At 40.0% G+C, this 23,392-nt stretch overlaps 1 pseudogene; it reads right to left on the bottom strand.

Moving 5' to 3' along the window:
• Window positions 1-23,014, bottom strand: part of MXRA5Y (matrix remodeling associated 5 Y-linked (pseudogene)) — a 31,407-nt pseudogene extending 8,393 nt beyond the window's left edge.

The raw sequence follows: 23,392 nt of genomic DNA, 5'->3' as shown, positions 1-23,392 counted from the left end.
TTCTGGGTTCAAGCAATTATCTTACCTCAGCCTCCCGAGGAGCTGGGACTGCAGACGCTCGCCACCACGTCCGGCAAATTTTTGTATGTTTGTTGAGACAGGGTTTCACCATGTTAGCCAAGCTGGTCTCGAACTCCGGACCTCAACTGATCCGCCCGCCTTGGCCCCAAAGTGCTGGGATTATAGGCGTGAGCCACCGTGTCCTGCTAATTAATTTCATTTAATTTTATCGCACGCAGGGACCAATGTGTGTGCATATTCATCCTGAACAAGGACTTATATTCGTTGGGGCCACCAGCCCAGCGATTTACAGGAAGCCACGCGGAGCTGCCTACCTGAAAAGCGCGTCGATCGTCCTCTTGGACGGCAGCCTCCAGAGGATGCGCGGCCAGGGATCCCCCGAGGCGCTGCAGTCCAGCTTGAGGGTCCCTCCGTACCTGACGTCCGTCCTCTGCGAGGAGGTGCCCGTGATGCGCGCGTTGGCGCGCAGCGCGCTGCACGTTCGCTGCTGCGCGCTGCACGTTCGCTGCTGCGCGCTGCACGTTCAGCTGCACCGTACTGCGCGCGGAGCCGATCAGGTTGGCGGCCACGCACTCATAGCGCCCGCTGTCCTTGGGCGCGAGGTTGCAGATGTAGAGCGTCCCGTTGGGGAAAACAAACAAGTTCCGGTGGAGGAAATGCGAGGGGCGGATTTGGGTACCATCCCCGAGCACCCAGAGCACGCTGGGCAGGGGCGCAGCTTTGGCAGTGCAGTGAATGTGAATGCTGAGCCCCGGGGGCAGCGAGATGTTCTACAGCTTCTCCTGGTGGATAATGGGGGGCAGTGCCGCCACGTGTAGGCGGATGGACACGCTGTCCGCCCGGGTTGCGTTGCTGGCCACGCACTTATAGACGCCTCTGTCTGAGAAGGACGCCTCCTTGATGGAAAGGGTCCGGTTTTGGTGCAGGGTGATCCGGCCCTCCACGGAGGACAGAGTTTGCCACACCCTCCTGTCACGGAAGATCCAGGAAATTTGGGGGGCTGGGGTCCCTTTCGCCAGACACTCCATTGTAATGGTGTCTCCCAGGTAGACGGTGACGTCCTGGTAGTGGGAGGCTAGGATTTGAGGTTGCTGCACGGTGACCCAGAGAAAGACCACCATCCTGTCCAGGCCGTACAGGTTGCTGGCGGTGCACATATACTGGCCTCGATCTTGCACTTGAAACTTCCTTATCACTAAGGTACCGTTCTTGAGAACCTCAAACCGTTGTATCCTGGTATTCGGAGTCATAAGAACTCCTGGAGAAAATTAACATAGTAAGCTTTGGCATAAACTGTGCCTTCTTGATAATGCTCAAATGAGCAATATTAGTTAATCTAAGTCTCCACTTTATCACCCAGACAGCAAAAGCAAGTGTAGAAGGTAGAATGTTTTAGTGTTTTTAAAAGTTTTTTTATGTTTATTTCATTTGTTAGAGATAGGGTTTTGCTCTGTCTCCCAGGCGGGGGTGCAGAGGTACAATCATAGCCCACTGCAGTCTCAACCTCCTGGACTCAGCCTTCTAAGTAGCTGGGACTACATGTGCAGGCCACCAGTCCTGGATAATTAAAACCATTTTTTTTTCTTTTTTTATTATTATTTTTTTTTTGTAGAGACATGGTCTTACTTTTTGCCCGGGCTGCTCTTGAACGTCTGGCCTCAATTGATTCTCTGTCTTGGCTACCCAGAGGGCTGGGATTAGAGATGTGAGCCATCACACCCAGATTGTTTTTGTCCTAACCATTAAAGAAATGTAAAACTGAGCTATCACCTCATGCCTGCTGGAATGGCTATTGTCAAAAAGACCAAAAACAACAGACACTGGTGAAGATGTGGAGAAATGGGCACCCTCGTACACTGTTGGTGAGAATGTAAATTGGTACAGCCACTGTGGAAAACAGCATGGAGGTTCCTCATAAAACTAACAATAGAGCTGCCTATGGTCTAGCAATCCCACTACTGGGTATTTATCCAAAGGAAATGATGTCAGTTTGTTTATGAGACATCTGCACTTCCGTGTTTATAACAGTGCTATTCACAATAGCCAAGATTCAGAATTCAGCTAAGTGTCCATCAATAAATGAATGGATAAAGAAAATGCAGTATATATGCACAATGAAATACCATTATGTCTTTTTTTTTTAAAGGAAATTCTGTCATTTGCCACAACATAAATGAACCTGGAGGATATTAGGTTAAGTGAAATAAACCAGGCACAGAAAGACAAATACTGCATGATCTCACTTATATGTGCAATGGAAGAAAGTTGAACTCATAGAAGAAGAAACAGATAGTGGAATGGGGGTTACCAGGGACTGGGGGTAGGAGAAAGGGGAAGCTATTAATTAAAGAATGTAAAGTTCAGTTAGGAGGAATATGCTTAAGTGATGTTATACTCATGGCAACTATAGTTAATAACAATTTAGTTTATATTTGAAAATTGTTGAGAGTAGATTTTTTGTCATCACACACATATGAAATAAATATGCTCTTTAAAAAAAGGATAGAGAAAAATAATGTTTTGTTTTTCTTTTTCATTTTTATACTAGTCCCAGAAACAAGGCCATTCTCAAGCAAAAGAGGGCAAATGTGGGTTTTATAGAGAATTCTGGAAGCAGGCATGAGTCCTAGCCACTTCCAAGGTGAGCTAAGATTCCACAAGCTCAATTACTAGAGACACAGCCTCTCCCTTATTTATTCATGCTTATGCTATTCTCCTGAACTCCTTGGGCTAGCTGGTTGCATGGGCATCCCAGGCTTGTAGTGGCCAGCCCCCCTGCCCAGAGAGGCCCTTGAGTCCACAAGAAAGGTAAATTACTCCCAGCACCTTAGCAGGCCAAGGCAGGAGGATGCTTGAGCCCAGGAGTTCTAGACCATCCTAGGCCACATATCTAAACTCTGTTTCTACAAAAAAAAAAAAAAAAAAAAAAATAGCTGGGTGCGGTGGCATGTGCCTTTGGTCCCAGTTACTTGGGAAGCTGAGGTGGGAGGATCACTTGAGCCTGGGACATAGAGGCTGCAGTGAACCATGATCATGTCACTGCACTCCTGCCTGGGCAACAGAGTGAAACTCTATTTAATAATAATAATAATAATAAAAGGAAAGAGAGAGAGAAGTAAAAAAAGAAAAGAAAACAGACAGAAAAGAAAATAAGGTAGATTGGTTAGACTGATGGGGTCGGGGTCATGATGGGGTCATTCCCCACTTGAGTTGAGCATGAATTCAGGCTTCTCAGTGACATCTGACCTCTCACCACTCTAGCCAGTGGGTGGAGTTATGGGACATAGGTCCTTATTTCTCTCCACTCTCTATACTCTCTATATTTCACACTCTGTTTGACCTCCTAAGACTGCAATCATCAGGCTCTGTATTAATTGTGTGTTTCTGATGCTCTGTCATCTGGGGTTTTGCTGACCCTGGGGAAACTACCCCTCCCAAAGCTAGATAATCACTAGAGATAGCAAACTACACACCTGTGAGTGCAGCTTGCATATGCAAACCAATCAATCCAGAGACCACACCCTAACCACCTCCTTTATTGGGCTGTCTGATTCCAGGTCACTATCCTCTAGCCTTAACTATCCCAGGGTCAGGTAACATACAACTAGGGACAGCCCCATGTGCTCCAGAGCCTGCTGACATTTTTCAAAATACTCAATTCTAAGCCGCGCCTGTTTCTTCCCATAGAAACTACAAAAAAAGGTGCTTGCCCACACTTTCTTCCTATCTCTCTGCTTCCTAACCAAACCTGGTGCTTCCCTCTGTGGCCCTGCATGATGTGTTTTACTCTGTCCTGGTAACTGAGTAACAAACTATCTTTTTAATGGCAGTCATCTGCTGATCACTTGGCCTAACCATACAGGCATGCAATGAAACTGTAAATGAGACCTCAAGCTCTCATAACATGGAACCCCTGTGACTGATAGAGATCCGCAAATTTACAAAACAGAACCAAGCAACCGTGGCAGGAGGAGAGAACAGCTGTCAAATGCTGTTTGTTCTCAGAGCAGTATCTCTTGACAAACAACTTGCCAGAGACTTCCAGTTTGGGGCTTGGAAATCACCCAATCGGGGCTCAACTATTTTGACCAGTCAGAACTAAACATATTTGAATTCCTAATTTGTGTAAATGGACTTGATTGGGAGCCAGTGCAGGAACTGTCTCTACTTCCTTTGTTCTTCAGAGAGCACTTTTTACTTGCACTGAAGGCTAGGTCCACCTAATCTGGAAACTGTTTTCTTTTTTTTTTTTTTTTTAATGGAAAATACAGCTCCCCCTTTATCCTCCACAGATCTCATGGACTTTTGTTAACAATGAAATATAATAATAAAACCTACATTTTTAAACAGGGGAGCCCAAGGGAGCCCTGAATTTTAGAACTCCTTCCGTTCTTCTCCCATGTTACTGGACCTTCCTGGGTCTGGACTTGTCCTGTGTGCCATTCACTTCATTCTGACCAGTGCCTCCAACTGTTTTACTAATAACTTTCTCTAATATTGGAGTTCATCCTTTGGATGAAGCTTTCAAATCCTGCAAGCTCGTCATCATTTCCATCCTCAAGGGGAACTCATACTCTGACAAAGCATCTGGTGGTCACACACCTGCAAAATTACTTGCTCTCACTATGAAAATAATTTCATAGTGGATGGATTATTCCAACACAGAACAGACATTGATAAAAGGTCACTACTCTGGTGTGTTTACAGAAGCAGCCAAGACCACAGCTGTCCCCTCCAAAACCAGGATCAGCAGCCCGTTGAGTCTGCCCAGCCCACCAGGTCTTAGAGAGCAGGTATTGCTTAGTGCTGATATAATCTCCCTACTTTTCAGGCAATGCAGCTAAGATCCCACCTAGCTTTGTGGTTGAGCCCTCCCGAATGACAGGTGACCATGGGCATGGTCATGGACACCAACCTGCTGACCCTCACTTATGGAGTCCCACCTCCCCACTGAGGCATTTTATGACGCAGAGGTACAAGAGTGCCTGTCTTTCATTTGGTTTTGGATGCAAGGGAAGGACCACTGAAACCTCCTGCCAATTATTCTTACACCTCCTGGGGCAATTTTAAAGTGCCTTCCATTTTTCTCTGATGCCTCAATAAAAGAGATTAGTTTATCTGAAAACAAAGGCATGATAAATCCATGCCATGTAGTTCCACAACATGCAATTACAACACTTTTGGATGTGAGCAAATCTCATTTGGCCATCCATTGAGAGAAATAGCTTTTGTCTAAAAACAAGAGCTAGCTAACAAATGAGCAGCCAGCATTGAGAGCTGATTCCAGGAAATGTAGAAGAAAAATGTGCATGAATGTCTGGTGCAGGGGCAAAGTTCAAAGATGCTCTGAAATGGCATAGGGTGTGAAGGAACCTAAGGATTTATATAAATGGGATTCCCAGAAGGAGAATGGGTTCCTTCAAGGACATAACCCTTTTGGAATAAATAACCCATGGTGTCCCTCATTTTCCACTTCCAGCAAAATTCATTATGAAATTATGAAAACCTATGACTTCAAGTGCTAAGCTTATCAAAGAAGTAAACAATTGCCCTAGGCTCAGAGTCTCTGTGAACCTCTGGAAAACTTCCAACATTTGGGAGATAAAGCAGTACAAAGAAAGTACAGCTAAGTGCTAGCAGCATAAATCATTTTGTATTATCGAAATGAAGGCAAAACACTCATAGACACAGACACACATACACACAATCCTCTGATCAGAATCCAGGGCTGAAGATACATTTGTGTTGAGAGAGAAGGAAAGAGAAAGGAGAAAAAGATGCTCTTTTGTCCAGGTTGTGATTCTCTGGTTTTATTTTCTTCTGTAACCTAGAAACTGTTCTGTCATTCAGAGAAAGCAGATGGTCAATTTAGGAAGCCAGCTGCTCTTTGAATGTCTGTCTCAGGATTCCAAGTATAAACCATTTTTATGGGCTGAAATGTGTCCCCCCAAATTTATATATTAAAGTCCTATCCCCCAGGAACTCAAAATATGACTGGAGATAGGATCTTTACCAAGGTGATTAAGGTTAAATGAGGTCAATAGGATGGTCTCTAATCTGATAGAACTGGTATCTTTATAAGAAGACATTAGAATCCAGACAAACAGAAGTTGGATCATGTATGACATAGGAAGAAGACGGCAACTACACACCAAGGAGAGAGGCCTCACAAGGAACTAATCTTGCCAACACCTTGATCTTGGACTTCCAAAATCTGCAATTGTGAGAAAATAACTATCTGCTACTTAAACTGCCCAGTTAGTGGTACTTTGTCATGGCAGCCCAAGCTGATTAACATAACCCTGGGTCTAGGTTCAAGTCAAAGAAGCACCTGATTAGCACTTAGAAGACTATAACCTGATCTCTGACCAAGCTGGGTTTACCTTTGCAAGCTGGTAAAAGGGCAAGGGGGATTTACAGACCACGTCTCATATCCACTCTGCCCTCAGATGGTGGTTGAAGGCATTTGTATTGGAGCCAACTGAAAAAAGTGAGAGTCTCTCTTATGGAATATTTCAAACCTGGGTTATTCTCCATCCAAAGGACTTATTAGATATTTCCATGGCTCCATTAAAATCTCACATCCATTCTAGTTCCTCACTTCCTGTCCCTGCAAAGAAACATGCTTAGATTTAAGATTTCAGATGACTCCTCTCATCCTACCAATTCCTTATTTTCTGAGTTTCTGGTTGTGCCTAAAGTAAGACTCCAGTAACTTTCTCCTACACTCTGGTTGAAGTGTAGATTGGGTACACATGGACATAAAGATAGGAAAAATGGATACTTGGGGCTACTAGAGGAGACAGGGAGGGGTAGCAAGGGCTGAAAATCCACCTATTGGATGCTATGCTCACTACCTGGGTAATGGGATCATTTGTGCCCCAAACCTCAGCATCATACAATATACCCATGTGAGAAACCTGCACGTGTTCCCCCCTGCATCTAAAATAAAAGCTGAAATTATAAAAATAAACACTTCTTCAAGTAAAAAAAAATTCCCCAAATTTGTTGTAAATATTTCTCCTAACGTGTTTATGTTTTGTACCTCATGCTCTTTTAGTGTATTGTAATATTGCTAGCCAATAAAATAAAAATTGACCCAAAAAAGAGTAGATGCTTAAAAATCTTACATGTGGAAACTTTTGTCCAAGTAACGAAAGGCTTTGGTTTTCCTATTGCCTCACACGGGAACACAGCGTCCGTTTCAGCAGTGACAGACACAGTCTGTGGGGACTTGGTGAGGATTTGGGGCTTTTCCCCAAGAGGCCAGAATTTGGATGCAGGCGGTCCTCCTGCAAAGAACTTTGAGCCGCTTTGGTGGATGCTTCCTGAGGACTGGACAGAAGATGTTATAAAGGAGACAGAACTCTGGGTGGATGAGACCATAGGGATATTCTGTAAGTTAGTTGGGGGTGATACCATGGTCCATGGAGTGTGCAACAGTGGAGGTGCTGGAAGGCCAAAGTCCAGATGGAAGGTGCTATGGGAATATATCCTATTGTAGGAACCTGGATTAACTTTTCTCTCTCTCATTACTGGGACAGGAGAAGAGGGTATCTGGGGTCTCCGGGTGACTCCCAACTGTGAAAAAGAAAGAGTCCTGTTGGTAAAGAAAGGGAGTCTTCCATTGGAATAATGATAAATTCTTGGACTGAGAGGCTTTCCAACTGAGTTTCTTGCCTCAGGGATGTTGCTATTTCCAAACACTTTGTAGGAGCCATTGGATTGGTCAGTTCTTAGGTCAGCAAACTTACTAGAAATGCTGGGTTTGGACATGTGTGATAGGAGAGGAGTTGTACTTGCTACTCTTGGAGTTGTAAACTGTTTGCTCTCTGGCAAAGCCCTAGAAGGATATGTAGTTATTTCTGGTTTGTTGGTCCCGTGATGAGGTGGCTGGAAAGTTACAAAGTATCTGGAAGTGCTTTGTGTGGACATTTCAGGCAGCCTCACTGTTCCTGTTGGTAGGATGGGTTTGGCAGGGATTCTGGTTAGTTGATGAGAAGCATGAACTCTTCCATCCTGGTGGTGGCTATCTGGGCCACGTGTTAGACTCCTACTATCAAATACTTGCTTTTCCAATTCTAGCTTTGTAGACAAGTTAAATGCATCGTGGTCAGAAGATGGTGTTGATAATTCATTTGGCCCTGACATACGCTGTGTTCCTTCATTTTTCACTGGGGTTGCTTCTGTTTCTGGATTCCCCATGTAATTCAAGAAAACATTTTCCTTGGAATCTTTACATATTTGAGATGTTCTTGGACTGAGAAGTTCTGGCTTAGTGGTGGTGGTTTGTCCCAAAGACAGGAGAATCATGGGAGGGGACAAAGATGCTGGCTCCTTCATCCAGGCAGCAGTAAGGATGTGATTCTGTGGTCTAGTTTCAGAGTGGAGAATAGCCACAGTGGTTTCATGATGATCTTGACCAAGGGTGGTAGTTTCTACCTGACTTGAAGCCATCTCCACTTTTATGCTTGAGAGAATTGTGGAAAAACCAGCTTCTTCCTGGTGAAATGGTGTGGAGACTGTCACAGAGGACAAAAACTCAGAAGTAAAATCCACATCCTCAAGCTCGTTAACAAGGGGAGGGTCTGTAGGGGTTTCCCCAGAAGTGGTAACATGTATGTCTGTCTGTAGCCTCCCAGGCTGAGCTTTCCTTGAGGGATTCCAGGTTGGAATTCCTGGAAAGCCCACAGGAGAGGATTCTTCCTTAAATTCTCCCATAGTGGAGACCAAGGAGCGAGAAGTTTGTGTGACATTTGTAATTGACTCACCAGGGACTAAAATGTCACTTTTATGTTTGTCAACATTTGTGGCAACATCATCCTGAATTTCTTTTCCATCTGATGTGGGTTTATACATGACTGGAAGTGTGTCTTGGACTTTATGGTGAGATGAATGTATTTTTCTGGTGGTTGTCGTGTAATCTAAGGAATCATAAACGCCCTCAGTTTTCAGAGAAACATTTCTAGGCAAAAGTGTAGTTTCTGAACTGGGAGTAACAATGTTTCTATGTTTATTTTCTGGAGAAGGGCTGGGCTTGGATGCAGATGCTCTTGAACTCACTGTAGAAGGGGTATATCGATGTTTGTTTGGCCTCTTCCCGTGTTTTCTCCGTGGAGTTCCCTTTGATATGAGCTCTACATTCTTCTCCATTTCCAGCTGTTTGGGGGTATTAACTGTGTTAATCTCCCAAGATGTAGGAACCAGAGAACTCTCCATTTGATTTGAAATCTTAATGTCAGTTGCTTGAGTTGGTTGAGTAGAAAAAGTCTCTAATGGAGCAAAAGTTGTGGGTGGGGTTTGCTTGTGCCGGTGGTGGAATTTGTGAGGGTGTAATTTTCTCCCATTGGGTCTCCTTCGAGAAGGGTGAGTGCTCATGGTGGATGATGAAGCCACTTTTTGCCTTGGAGTTGTTTCTGTTGTGGTGTCTTTGTGTAGCAGGGTGACAACTGTGGTTTCCGCAGGCTTCTTAACTGGAGACGTACTGCTCGTTATACCCAGTGTGGAGTCAGGTAAAGTGATGGATTTGCTCTCTTGGCCCTCATTCTCAGAACTTCTGGAGTGTGTAGGGTCTCCCTCTAGCATATTTCCTCCCTGTAGTGTCTGAGACATCTCTTTCATACCTTTTTTAATCAATAAGGTGTCTTGAGTGCTAAAACTACTTTTCACAAGCTGGATGTTCTCTGTCGGTCCTTGTAGATGTGATTTGCCTGGGACACCTTGTTCCCCTACAGTAGAATCCTCAAATGACAGTGATGTACTAGAGTCATTAAACCAGATGATGGCGGTTGGAGTAAGGTGTGCAAAACTGTATTCTTTTATGTTATCCTCATGTGGTTGTGAATTAGTCTCCAAATCTGGGTCAAAGTATTGCACAGGCTTAGACTCAGCCAAGGAGACAACAACCAATGGAAGCTCATACTCACTGGATGTGGGATCTGGTGAGGATCCAACATCTGCTGCAGACCAACCCTCTGTTTCCGTCTCTTCATGGGTGGGCTCTTCATAGACTGTGTCTAAGGTGTGTAGAGTAGGAGATTGTTCATAAGGCTCAGATATAAGTGTAGAGGCTGCAGTCCCCTTCAGGTCGCCTTCAGTGGAAGTCATCTCCTCAGTCTTCTTGGAATACTCATCAACAACTTCTTCCAGAGGTGTGCTTGTTACTTCAGGTTCAACAAGAATAACTCCATTGTTGTGGTGTTCTAGTCCCATGCTGGCTGAGGAAATGGTACTCAAAATGTGCTTTCCTTCGCTGAGTAGAGGTACATCTGCTGAGGATTCTTCAGCACTTGTTGCTGTCTGTATTGGAGATGCCAAGGGGGGAGAAACAGCAGGCAAAGGTGGTGTGACTACTAGGCTCAAGAATGGAGAACTTGTGGTTTTAATAATTGGGGATACTTCTGTGCCTGTAGGGAGATTTTTCCCAAAGACTTTGGCTAAAATATCAGCCCAGTGCTCCGGATTAATCTGTTTGTTTGCCACGTTTATCCTTCGTCTTGATTCAAACACTCTGAGATCTTCTGCAACACTGGTCTCTGGTTCTTTTTCTGAATGCTTCCAGAGTTTCAGCTTTCTTCTCCCTTTCTTGGCTTTCTTATCTCCATTGATGGCATCATCCTTTGTTTTGAGGAACGCCTCTTGGTGCTTTGGATGTAGAAGTCTCCTTGAAGTGTTCTCTTCATCTCCCGTGCCTGAGACCCCTTCATCCTCCACGATGTCTTCTCTCATCTGGAAAGAGCCTTTGGACCTGGCCATCTGCCTCTTTTGGATGGCGAGCCAGAACCTTTCTTGGTCACTGTGATTCCCACCGTGATATGGTCTGCCCCATGCTGGTTGACAGCCACACATCTGTGGTAACCACTGTCACTGACTTGGACCTTTGGGATGGAAAGAGTTCCATTTGGCAGCATGTATACATGTGATGTGTTAGCCAAATCATTAATTATCCTTCTGTTTGGAAGAATCCAGCTAAGGTGGGCTTCGGGTATAGCTAAAGCATTGCAAGGCAACATCACTGGCTCCCCTGGGTTCTTGCCAATTGTCACTGTGTCTTTCTCGGCTGGCTGAGTGGAGGGAGACTGCACAAGTACCCTATATACCATGCGGTCCATTTCATCCCTCACTTGAGCAATGCACTGGTACAAGCCCGAGTCAGATGGCTCCATGGACTTGATCCTCAGCCAGCCACTGCTGAGAATGGAGAACTTGCTGTCTGGGTCATCCACAGGCACTTTCAGGATGGAGCCATCTGGAAGCACCCAGAAGATAGATGGACTCTCAGAAGCTTTCACATTGCAGCTCAACTGGCATCGACCCCCTTCCAGGACAGTCTGATCTTTTTGCACAGCTCTACTAGGCTCAATCATTACCCAGCTTCTGCCCCGAGCCTGCCTTGTATCTTTGGTGGCTATTGTTTGAGAATACTGGTTGTAGTAGGAAAGTAGCACCTTCTTGGCCGTACTCTGAGGTCGGTTCAGCTGGATATCTATGGATGGCTGCATGATCCATTCTGGTTCTGCAAGAATCTGGGCTCTCACACCTGTGTAGTAAAGAGCTTCTTCATCGGCATCTTGCCTGTACTGGTAGCTGACTCTGGGGTGTTTGCTGAGCATGAGCTCTCTGTGTAGCTTCATGGGAACTTCACTGTAGTATGCTATCAATTTCCATAGATTTTCATAGTTTTCCTGGGTCATTGGATACTCAAAGTCCAAGGCAACCATTGCATTTATGTCAATATCTGGAGGATCTGTTTGGTTCAAGTGAATTTTGTACACATCCATTGGTTTCTTGATGTCACACACCAAGTTCACCAGGTTCCCGTGCTCATCAGTCATATTCAAAGAGATGCTCCACTGGGGAAGTTGGATTTTCTCCAGGATGAGCTGGCTGTCACCATTCTCTTCTTGTTTTTGCTCCTCCTCAATACTCCTGCTCCTGTTCTGTCTCAGAGGAGACTCTATGGAAGGCTTCAGACAAGTCAGGTCCTTCAGCTTGTGAATCTCATGTTTGTACAACTTCTTTGGACTGAAGCACATTGCACACAACTGACCGCCTTCATAAGCTTTGTCCTTTTTACACTTCAGAATTCCTAAAACAAATAAGCAAATAGACACTCAATAGGGTAAGGAGCCAAAGAATGGCACGCCTTGTACATGGCCAGAGGATAAAACCTATGTTTGCGTCTTTATCACCCAGCTGTAATCCCATAAACAAGGAATCCTATACATGAGTTGCCTTTAAGGCATGTTAAACCACAGTTTTAGTACACTGTGTGGTAACTAATGGATGCTTTATAACTGCTTAACCATTAATAATAATTTTTACTTAAAAATATCTTAAAATACTTACTAACAGGTATTTAAAAAACATTTCTAAGTTAAAGAAAACAGCTTCACTCATATACATTATACAATGTACCTTCTGTGAAAGTTTAGAAGAATCTGTATAAATAACTACAAACTGGGGAAACATTTCTAGGTAAAAGGATGAATCTTTGCATGTATCACATCATATCTATTTTTTGTTGTTTTTTGTCTTTATATATATACCTATATATAAAAAATATTTATATATATATCTATCTCAATATATACAAATATGTATCTATCTTAATAGATATATATTTACATAATATATATCTATATAATATATAGATATATAATAGATCTCTCTATCTATATATATCTATATATACTATATAGATATAATATAGAGATCTATTATATATCTATATAATATATAGAATATATATAATTATATAATATATATCTATATTATATATAATATATAAATATAGATATTATATATCTATATATAGATTAAATATATATTATAATGATATATATCTGTATAATATATAATAAATAAGATATATATCTATTGGTATATCAATATATGTTTATCATGATAGATATATATCTATATATTATATTTTATATTATATTATATATATTATATTTTATATTATATTTTATATATAATATATAATATAATATATAGATATATATCTATCATGATATATAAACATATATTGATATATCAATAAATATATTATATGTAGATATATAGACATATAATCAATGTATATTTATATCTAAATATATATAAATAATATATAAATATATATGGATATAAATATATAAACCCGTGAAAGCATTTTCAGGTAAAAGGAAGAATCTCTGGCATGTATCACATCATATTTACTTTTTAAAATTGTGATATAACAATATATAAATTTATAGAGAAACATATATTTATAAGTAATATATAATCAACATCTTTATATTATAAATATATATAAATCAATATATTTATATTATAAATCATTTATAAATTTAAATGATAAATTTAAATTCTAAATTTAAAATATATAACATATATTTATATATAAATATATAACATATATTTATATATAAATATATAACATATATTTATATATAAATATATAACATATATTTATATATAAATATATAACATATATTTATATATAAATATATAACATATATTTATATATAAATATATAATTGATATGTATGTATCTAGGTAACTATATTTATAACTATGTATTTATAAATTTATAATATATAATTTATATATAATCAATATGTATCTATCTAGGAACTATATATTTATAACTATATTTATAATATTTAATTTGTATATAACCAATATGTATATTTCTAGGTAAATATATCTATATTTATAACTCTCTCTATAAAGTTATAATATATAATTTATATATAATCAATATGCATGTATCTAGGTAACTATATCTATAACTCTATAAATTTATAATATATAATTTATATATAGTCAATATATATGTATCTAGGTAACTATATCTATATTTATAAGTTTATAATATATAATTTATATATAATCAGTATGTATGTATCTAGGTAACTATATAACTCTATATAAATTCATAATATATGATTTGTATATAATCAATATGTATGTATCTAGGTAACTATATCTATATTTATAACTATATTTATAAATTTATAATATGTAATTTATATATAATCAATATGTGTCTATCTAGGAACTATATCTATATTTATAAATATATTTATAAATTTTTAAATATATAATCAATATGTATGTATCTAGGTAACTATATATTTATAAGTATAAATTTTTAATATATAATGTATATATAATCAATTTGTATGTATCTAGGTAACTATATATTTATAACTCTATAAATTCATAACAATTTATATATAATCAATGTGTAGATATCTAGGTAACTATATATTTATAACTCTATATTTATAAATTTATAATATACAATGTATATATAATCAATATGTATGTATCTAGGTAACTATATCTATATTTATAACTCTCTCTATATTTATAGTAAACACTTCATAGAGTGTTTGCTTTTGAGCTCACATTATCCTCTTGGTCTCCTGGATATGAAATCCTCTGGAATTTTCTCCACCTTTCCGGCCATAACTTGGTCTCAGTCACTGCTTCCTCCTCCTCCTCTGCCTGAATCTTTGCTGACTGGGTCCTCCTTGACTTGGTCCTAAGCCCCTTTCCTTCCTGGTTGGCTTCAGAGTCAATGGCCTCTCCCACATGTGTGGTTCCAATTACCACCCACCCGCCAGTGATGACTACCATATGTGCTTCTCTAGTCCAAATACATTCCCTGAGTTCCATACCCCATCTGTATTTATGGCCACTCCCCATTTCTGGCATTACTGTCTGAGCTCCACCTCCTGTCAGATCAGTGACAGCATGAGATTCTCACAGAAGCACAAACCCTATTCTGAACTGTGTACGCAAGGGATCTAGGTTGTGCACTCCTTATGAGAATCTAATGCCTGATGATCTGTCACTGTCTCCTGTCACCCTCAGATGGAACTGTCTAGTTGAAGGAAAATAAACTCAGGGGTCCCACTGATTCTACACTATGGTGAGTTGTAGATTTATTTCATTATATATTACAATGCAATGATAAAAGAAATAAAGTGCACAACAATGTAATGCATTTGAGTCATCCCAAAACCACCCCCTCCCCAACCCTGTCTGTGGAAAAATTGTCTTCCATGAAATTGGTCCCCAGTGCCAAAAAGGCTGGGGACTGCTGATCTATTGTATGACTCCATGTATATTAAATGTATATTGTATGATTCCATATATATGAAATGTTCACAATAGTCAAATTCATAGATACAGGAAAGAAAGTGGTGGTCCCCAAAGGCTGGAGGAGGAGAGGGAGTAGAGCATGACTGCTTAACAGATATGAGATCTCCTTTTGGGGTGTTAAAAATGTTTGGAACAAGATAGAGATGATGTATACACAATAGTATGAATGTACTAAATGGCACTGAATTGTAGCGTCTACAATAGTGAATTCCATGCCATTTGAATTTTACTTTAAAAAATTGCAAAAGCATTGTACAGGTCAGCTTTATATGTGCCTTCAGGATGTAGCTGGCTCTGAAAACAAGCTCTAATGCTTTTAGAGATGGAGAAATGAAAGGAAAAATAAGGGAGGTGCTGTTTGAAATGCCCTCAATATGAAACGATGTCTGCTACAGATTCTATGTGCATGGATTCATCTTGCAATGCAGTCACAGCTATAATTTGAGCTTTGTGGGTCTGCAAGTTACTATTCTGGGTGGGTCAACCAAATAGGCAAGGGCTCAGCTCTGTTAGCAAGAAGGTTGACTAGAAGGGTAAAAATAATGAAAAAGATCATTTCAGGTAATCGTGAATTTCATAAGGAAATAATTAAAGGACAGGAAGGAGAGTAGAGGGGTTTGGTGGGTTAATGCCTGTGGCAGAGCTCTCTGGGGAGCTGAGATTTGAAGCAGGGCTTCAGAAGCAAAGGGGTGTGACCATGTACAGGTCTCTTGGGGAAAGGCATTCCCAATGGAGGAAGACACCCAGAGATTTTCATTGCTTTATACAAAAGCTCACTGTTTGGTTTGTTGATCCTGATTAGGAACTTGGTTTTGGGTGCAGCTTCAGTGTTTCACTCCATTATTGGTTGACTTACTATTCATTCAGTTTCTTAACTCTCTGCTCCAAGATGCCTCATCTTATTTCTGGAGATTCATTATTGGTCCACTTGGGCATGGCCTCATCATTTTAGAAGAATATTCCATGGTGGACAATTAGTTACCTCTCTGGTATTTTGCTGTTTGCCATAAAGTTCAGAGTTATTGGCCATCTTTCTATTCCTTAGACTCACCAAGCTTGCCTGCTTTATAGCATGGCCATTGATTTGTTCTCTATAGAGATGATGCTCAACATCCTGTAATGCACACGATGGCCCCTACAACCCAGATTGATTCAGTCCTAAACATCAAGATTGCAGAAATTTGGTAACCTTACCTTAGCATGTACAAATTTGTCTACCTGTCTCTCTGTCTGTATCTATCTATCTAACTACCTACCTACCTACCTATCATCTATCAATCTATCTATAATCCTATCTCTCATCATCCTATCATCTGTCAAGCATTTATTATCTATCATCTATATATCAATCATATATCTATTCATCCATTACATCTATTTATCTATCATCTATTATCCATCCATCACATCCATCTTTCTATCTATCATATATCTATCATCCATCACCTGTATCTATCTATCTATCTATCTACTATCTATCTACCATCTATTACCTATCTATCCATTGCATCCAGCTCTGTATCTGGGTATCTATCTATCCATCTATCTATCATCTATCTATGTACCTATATCTATTTCATCTATCTATCATCCTATCATGTACCTACCAATATACCTACCTTTCATCTATCTCTATCATCTATCAGCTATCATTTTATCATCTGCTTATTATCCTATCATGTTTCCATTATCTATCTTGTATCTATTCATCCACCACATCTATCTATCTATCTATCTATCTATCTATCTATCTATCTATCTATCTATTATTTTTCCATCCATCTATGTATCTAATATCTATGGCATCTATGTATCTAATATCTATGTATCCTATCTATCTATCTTCTATTATCTATCCATCCATCACATCTATCTGTCATCTACCTATCACCTTTCTACATATGTATATCTATTCTATCTATCATCCAATCACCTACCTATCAACATACCTACTTTTTATCTATCTCTATCACCTATCAGTCTATCATCCTATCCAGTATCAGTCTATCATCTATCTTATCTATCATCTAATATCCTATTATCTATCAACCTATCTATCATCTATCTTTATCATTCTATCTATCAATCATTGTATCATCTGTCTGCCTCTCTGTCTGTCTTTCTGTCTCCCTGTTTGTCTGTCTATTGTCTATCTGTGGCAGTAGTTCTCAACCAGGGAAAAGTTTGTTTCTAGGGAACATTTGTCATCATGTGTAGAGATTTTTGGTGATCACAAATATGGAAGCAGGTGCTACTGGCATCTAATGGGTGAAGGTCAGGGAAGTTGCTCAACATTTTACAATGCACATGACAGCAACATAAAACAAAGAATGATCCTATCCAAAATGATAATAGTGTCCCAATGTCAGTTATGCTGAGGTGAGGAAATCCTGCTCTAATCCTAGGTAATCTTTGGGCAGATGTGTTGTGTTTATTATTATTTAGGATTTTAGAACAAATCTGTCTGGAATGGTGAACACACAAAAGGGAATTGATGTCAGCGCCAAAATCCTTTTCCAGGTTGCGTGTGGGTGGCTCATGCCTGTAATCTCAGCACTTTGCGAGGCCAAGGTGGGTGGATCACTTGAGGTAAGGAGTTACCTTGGGAGGCCAAGGCAGAAGAATTGCTTGAAACCAGGAAGTGGAGGTTGCAGTGAGCCAAGATAGCAGCACTGCACTCCAGCCTGGCAACAAAGTGAGACTGCATCTTAAAAAAAAATCCTTTTCCATTTCTTGGATGCTGGGATTTCTCTAGATACAGCAAGCAGGGGAAATAATGGTATCAGGTGAGTAGGTGAGATTGTCTGTGACCAGGTTACCTAAGAGCTGAGAAGACATGGGAAGGACTATGTTTTATTTACACCAAGTGCAAAAGGGAGTGATTGGAGGGTTTAAGGAAGGGAGTGACATGAATTGAAGTATGTGTTAAAACAGCAATGTTGGCCACTACCTGGAGAACTTGTCAGAGCTGGGCAAGAGAGGGAGGCAGAAATGAGGTGAATCCTGCAGAGAAATTGAGGGATGCTGGATTCACAACCAGGCAGTAAATATGAAAGCATACAGAACATTTCCAAATGTACTTAGAGGAAGAGCCAGCAGAAATTGCTGAGTGGTGGGAGTGAGAATGAGGACAATCTTGGAGGGGAGGATTCTCCATGTGGGGGGATGCTATCATTTGCTGGATGGCAAAGGCTGAGAGAGACGGTGTTGGGGAAACAATTCAAAGCTGTATTTACCATGTGATGGTTGAGAATTTTGTAAGCATCTAAGGGGCGAATAGGGATCAAGACTACGATGGAGATCCACGATGCACATTCAGAGGAGACTAGCCAACCAACCAATGGAACAGAGCCCTGGGAGTAAATAATCTGAACAGAGCCCACGGGAGGCAGATATTCAGACAGAGAAGATAGGGTTCTGAGGCTCAGTCTCTGAAATGGGTCAGAAACAGCTGGATGTTCCTCAGCACATTTTACTTCAAGAGTGTGCTATGTTCTCATTCCGTAGTTGTGGTCACCAAAAAGGTCTCCAGATGTTGCCAAATGTTCTCCAGGGGCAAACTCATCCATTGTTGATAACTAGTATCATAGATAGATAATACATACATACATAGGCAGACAAATAATAGATAGATAGATAGATAGATAGATAGATAGATAGATAGATAGAATGGATAGATGATATTGATTGATTGATAGAGATGATAGGTAGGTAGATTATTGATAAATAGATGATGGAGAATACGTAGCTTGATTAATAGAGATGATAGATAGGATAGAGAGATCAATAGATAGATGAAGGAAATAATTAAAGGACAGGAAGGAGAGTAGAGGGCTTTGGTGGGCCAAACCCCTAGAGATAGGTGATAGGTAGGTGATAGGCAGACAGATGAAACAAAGATTGACTGATAGATGATGTGTAGGTAGAGAGATAGATTGGCTGATTGATGATAGAGATAGAGGTTAGGTAGGTAGATAGGTGACAAGCAGATAGATAGGTAGGTAGATAGATAGATAGATAGACAGATATTGAGAAAAACAGACAGAATGACTCATATTAAAGCCATGGATAGCTGAATGTCAAAAGTAACCTAAGAATTTTGGTGACAACTATTAAGGTGGAGAAAAAGGGAAAATAGGAACAAAGGATCAATACTGGTTGATTTCCCTTCACATCTGAATAATTCCCCCTATTTGGGAGGGCACACAAAGTCTGGGACAGGCTCCACATCAGCTCAGAAAGGTGCCTGACTGTCATCTTCCCCCGATTGTTTTTAATGGGCATTAGAGAGCTTGCAGATGCAGATTCCAAGGGTGCCAGATGTGAGAATGGGGGAGAGGGGCGGTTATTCTGGAACAGACAAAAGCCTGGGGAATCACTTGAGTACCCCCTTTCAGAAACCGAGGGTATACATGTCCCCTTTTTGCATCCTTCTAAAAATCAGTAGACAGTCTGGGAAACTGGAGACTGGGATGACCCTGTACAAAGTGCAGTTCTGTGGCTTATTAGCCCCTTGGCTTACATTCCAGACTATCTTCATCACCTATTGATTGACAATCACTGAATATATAACTGACTCTGTGAAATGTTTATGGCAGACAATATTTGCAAAATTATGTCATAGGTTCTGGTTAATATCACAAGGCAGAACTTAAAATAAAACGGATGAGTATGGGCATTGTCAAAGTTGCAGAAAGTCATAATCAAAACCAGTCTTTTAATCGAGGGAAAAATATTTAAGAGTCTGTAAATCCATCTCTAGGTGGATGCTACATTGTTGGTTCCTGAAAAAAAATATTTGGAAAGCAATTTTCAGAAATGCTTTTAGTCTGTCCAAGCAGGAAAGACCAATGCTGACAAAGAATCCTAAAAACAGCTGTGTGGGAATAGGTTTCATTAGCACTTGGCCAACAATTCCTCATTCCTTGAGAGTCTTATATTTTCTCCAGACTGCTAAAACACAAATCAATCTCTGAGTGTTATCAGTTAGACATTGGTCTTGCTTCAGGTTTTTTCCCCAACAAAGTCCAAGATGCTGGACTCATTACCTAATTTGAGATTGATTTTTCTGAAACAATGCTATTATAATATTATTAGTGATGTTTTTCCAATAGTATATTAGTTCCTATTACAGATTAAACCAGATGGAAGGCATAGATGTTGATGCAGTGAAGTAATTCTCTAGGGTCTTAAAATTTTTCTTTTCTTTTTAATATTACAGAAAACTATCTCTAGATATTACTGGTATCAATAGGAAAAAGAAACATTAACATGTTGGTATGTCTGTTTTATTCCCCCATTAAAGTCAATCTTTATTGTGAGTTGTTTAAAATGAAACCATCAGAAATGGTGTTGTAATTTAGAGGTTAGTTATGTTTTGCACTTACAAAGTACTTCAGTTTAAAAATGAACAGGAAGAAAAGCATCCCAGAAACTGTAAATGAGATGCAAACAACTTCAGAAGTAATAGTCTTATTGGTGCTGTAAGTCTCCGGCCATTAAACAAATCACCTCTTTGGGGAGGTTGTATGCAGGGACTGTCCCCACCCTCATTTCCAGCCTGGTATCCCCCTTCCCAACACACAACACAAACACCCAAACCTGCTGTGCAGGAAGCACCGCCATATATATATATATATATATATATATATATATATATATATATATATATATATATATATCTGCATCAGCCCCACACTTTTTAGAAGGCTCCACCAAGGACTGGCTGATGGTACCCCCAGCATGGGACCTGCCAAGGTGCTAGGTTTGAGAGATGAGGTGGTTAATCCCAGCAAGTGGGACCATGTGTTAAAATGGTTCATGTATAAAAAACAATTCCTAGACAGAGCCATTTTGCACACCAAGGGTGGAAGAAAAAGAAGTTACAGTTAAAGCTTCACTTTCATATATCACATGTGCTATCTCTCAGGATTCAAATGAGCTTTAGCAGTCAAGGAACCAACCCAAATATCCACCAATGATAGACTGGATAAAGAGAATGTGGTACATATAAACCATGGAATACTATGGCGCTGTAAAAAGGAATGAGATCTTGTTATTTTCAGGGACCTGGATGAAGCTGGAAGCCATCATCCTCAGTGAATTAACAAGGGGAAGAGAAAACTAAATGTGGCATGTTCTCACTCGTAAGTGGGAGTTGAACATTGAGAACACAGGAGCACAGGGAGAGGAACAACATACACCAGGTCCTGCTGGCGGGTGAGGGGTGAGAGGAGGGAACTTAGAGGTTGGGTCAATAGGTGCAGAAAACCACCATGGCACACATATACCTATGTAACAACCTGTACACTCTGCACATGTATCGTGGAACTTAAAGTTAAATAAATAAATAAATAAAACAAATGGGCTTTAGCACCTCTTCCGTTTTTCTTACTTAATTATACAAGAAATGTGTCCTGATAAATTACAAGACTGTAAAAAGGGAAGCTGGCTTACATGTTACTATTCCCTCCTCTGGCAATGCCAAGCTGTTTTCCCCAATGAGCTATCATCGTTGTGGTTGGATGTTCAGGTGGTCAACTCATAAACTCTAACAGCATTTCATTGAGAAAGCTATTTAATGGTCTGTTGCCATGGGTTAGGGAAATTATCATCTTATTCCCTCAACGTTTCATTGTCTAATTCTACCACTGTCAATAGGGAAGTTTCCTCCTTACTCCCTCAACGTTTCATTCTCTGACTCTACCACTGTCGATAGAGAAATTTCCATCTTATTATCTCAGTGTTTCATTCTCTTTTTCTACCACTGTCAATAGAGGAAAGTTTTTTTTTAACTTTGTTCTATAAGATGTCCAGGTACATTTACAGTTATTTTGCATTTGCTCAAATCTGGACATTTTATTTTTATTAAAAGATCTCCATGGTGGATATTTCTCAGACACTAATTTAATCAGTTGTTCTGGGGATAGATGCTAGAAAGTAGCTAATACATTTTGTTGAAGTACTCTAAATGATTGTTGACTATTAAAATTGCAGTTGAGCACCTGTAGTTCATAGCACCTAACACTTAGGTCCACACAACCTTCGTGCGTATAAAATGACACCAATATATTAAAATTCTACCTGGCACACCACATCGAAATATGTTTTAAAAAAGATGTTGACATTTTTAATAGCCAAAATCTGCAGGAATTCTTTTCCTGCCTTAAAGTCACAATTCTATCATCTACATGACTTATAAAATGGCACAGATGTTCTGCTTATTTTTATTATTCTTAAATCGTTGCTGAAGTCTATTTAAATCATCTTCGTATGTTTAAGTGTGTTTCTCATGCATTCACCTCTACAATATATTAAAGAAATGCTATCAAGGCAATTTATCAACAGACTCTAAAGTTGTTCATGCTGCTTGTTAATAGACCTTACAGCAGTGGCAGCTAAGGGATATAGTCAGATAATCATCAAAAAAGCTGTATTTAGCATAACTAAAACTTTTCCTCTCTATTCTACCCATCTGCAGCTCCATAATTGTCGACAGAGCTACACAGAGGAAATGCACAAATGAAGTTAAGTAAATGCACATACACTCATTGCAAAACCAGATCAAGACGCACGCACTGACAGTGGGATGGTTCGGGAAGAAGGTGGTACAAACCCCAAATTGATTCTTTCCACATGTTTAGCAATGCCAGCGGGCACAGAAGCCAGGGATCGGAACGTGCAGTGGACCTCGCTGGGGACGTAGCAGGCACAAGGATGAGGGCAGGCCAGCGCCACTCGCGGATGACCCCAAAGCAGGATCAGCACCACAGAGAGGGCCCCCCAGTGCGCGCGCTTGGGCATCTTGTCGGGGTGCCTGATTCTCGGATACCTGAGGTAGAACAACGAAGAGATGCGCTTATTCACAGGTAGCACCGACGAACTGTGGGCAATTTTTAAATTTGAATTGTGCATCAGGGTTTCAAGCTTCCCAGGACTTCACACGATGTGTTGTAGTGACGCTTAAACCATGGGAATTGAGAAAGATGAAACATGGTTTTTTTCTAAACTTTTCACCATTCACTTTAATCATGACTATAGAATATAGTCTTGATTCTTGGCTTGGATACTATGATTTGGAAATCTGTCTTGCATTCTGTAATTGTGGGTATGAAATTGGCGGGGGGTAGTGGGGGAAACAGAAAGACAGAGAGAGAACAAGAAAAAGAGAGGTTTGTATTTATGTTTCCATAATAAAAGAAATAATAAAATG

This window comes from Homo sapiens, chromosome Y (assembly GCF_000001405.40).
Source record: "Homo sapiens chromosome Y, GRCh38.p14 Primary Assembly".
In the NCBI taxonomy this organism is placed as follows: Eukaryota; Metazoa; Chordata; class Mammalia; order Primates; family Hominidae; genus Homo; species Homo sapiens.
The sequence above is the reverse complement of the archived record's forward strand: the minus strand, read 5'-3'. Positions and strand labels throughout refer to the sequence as shown.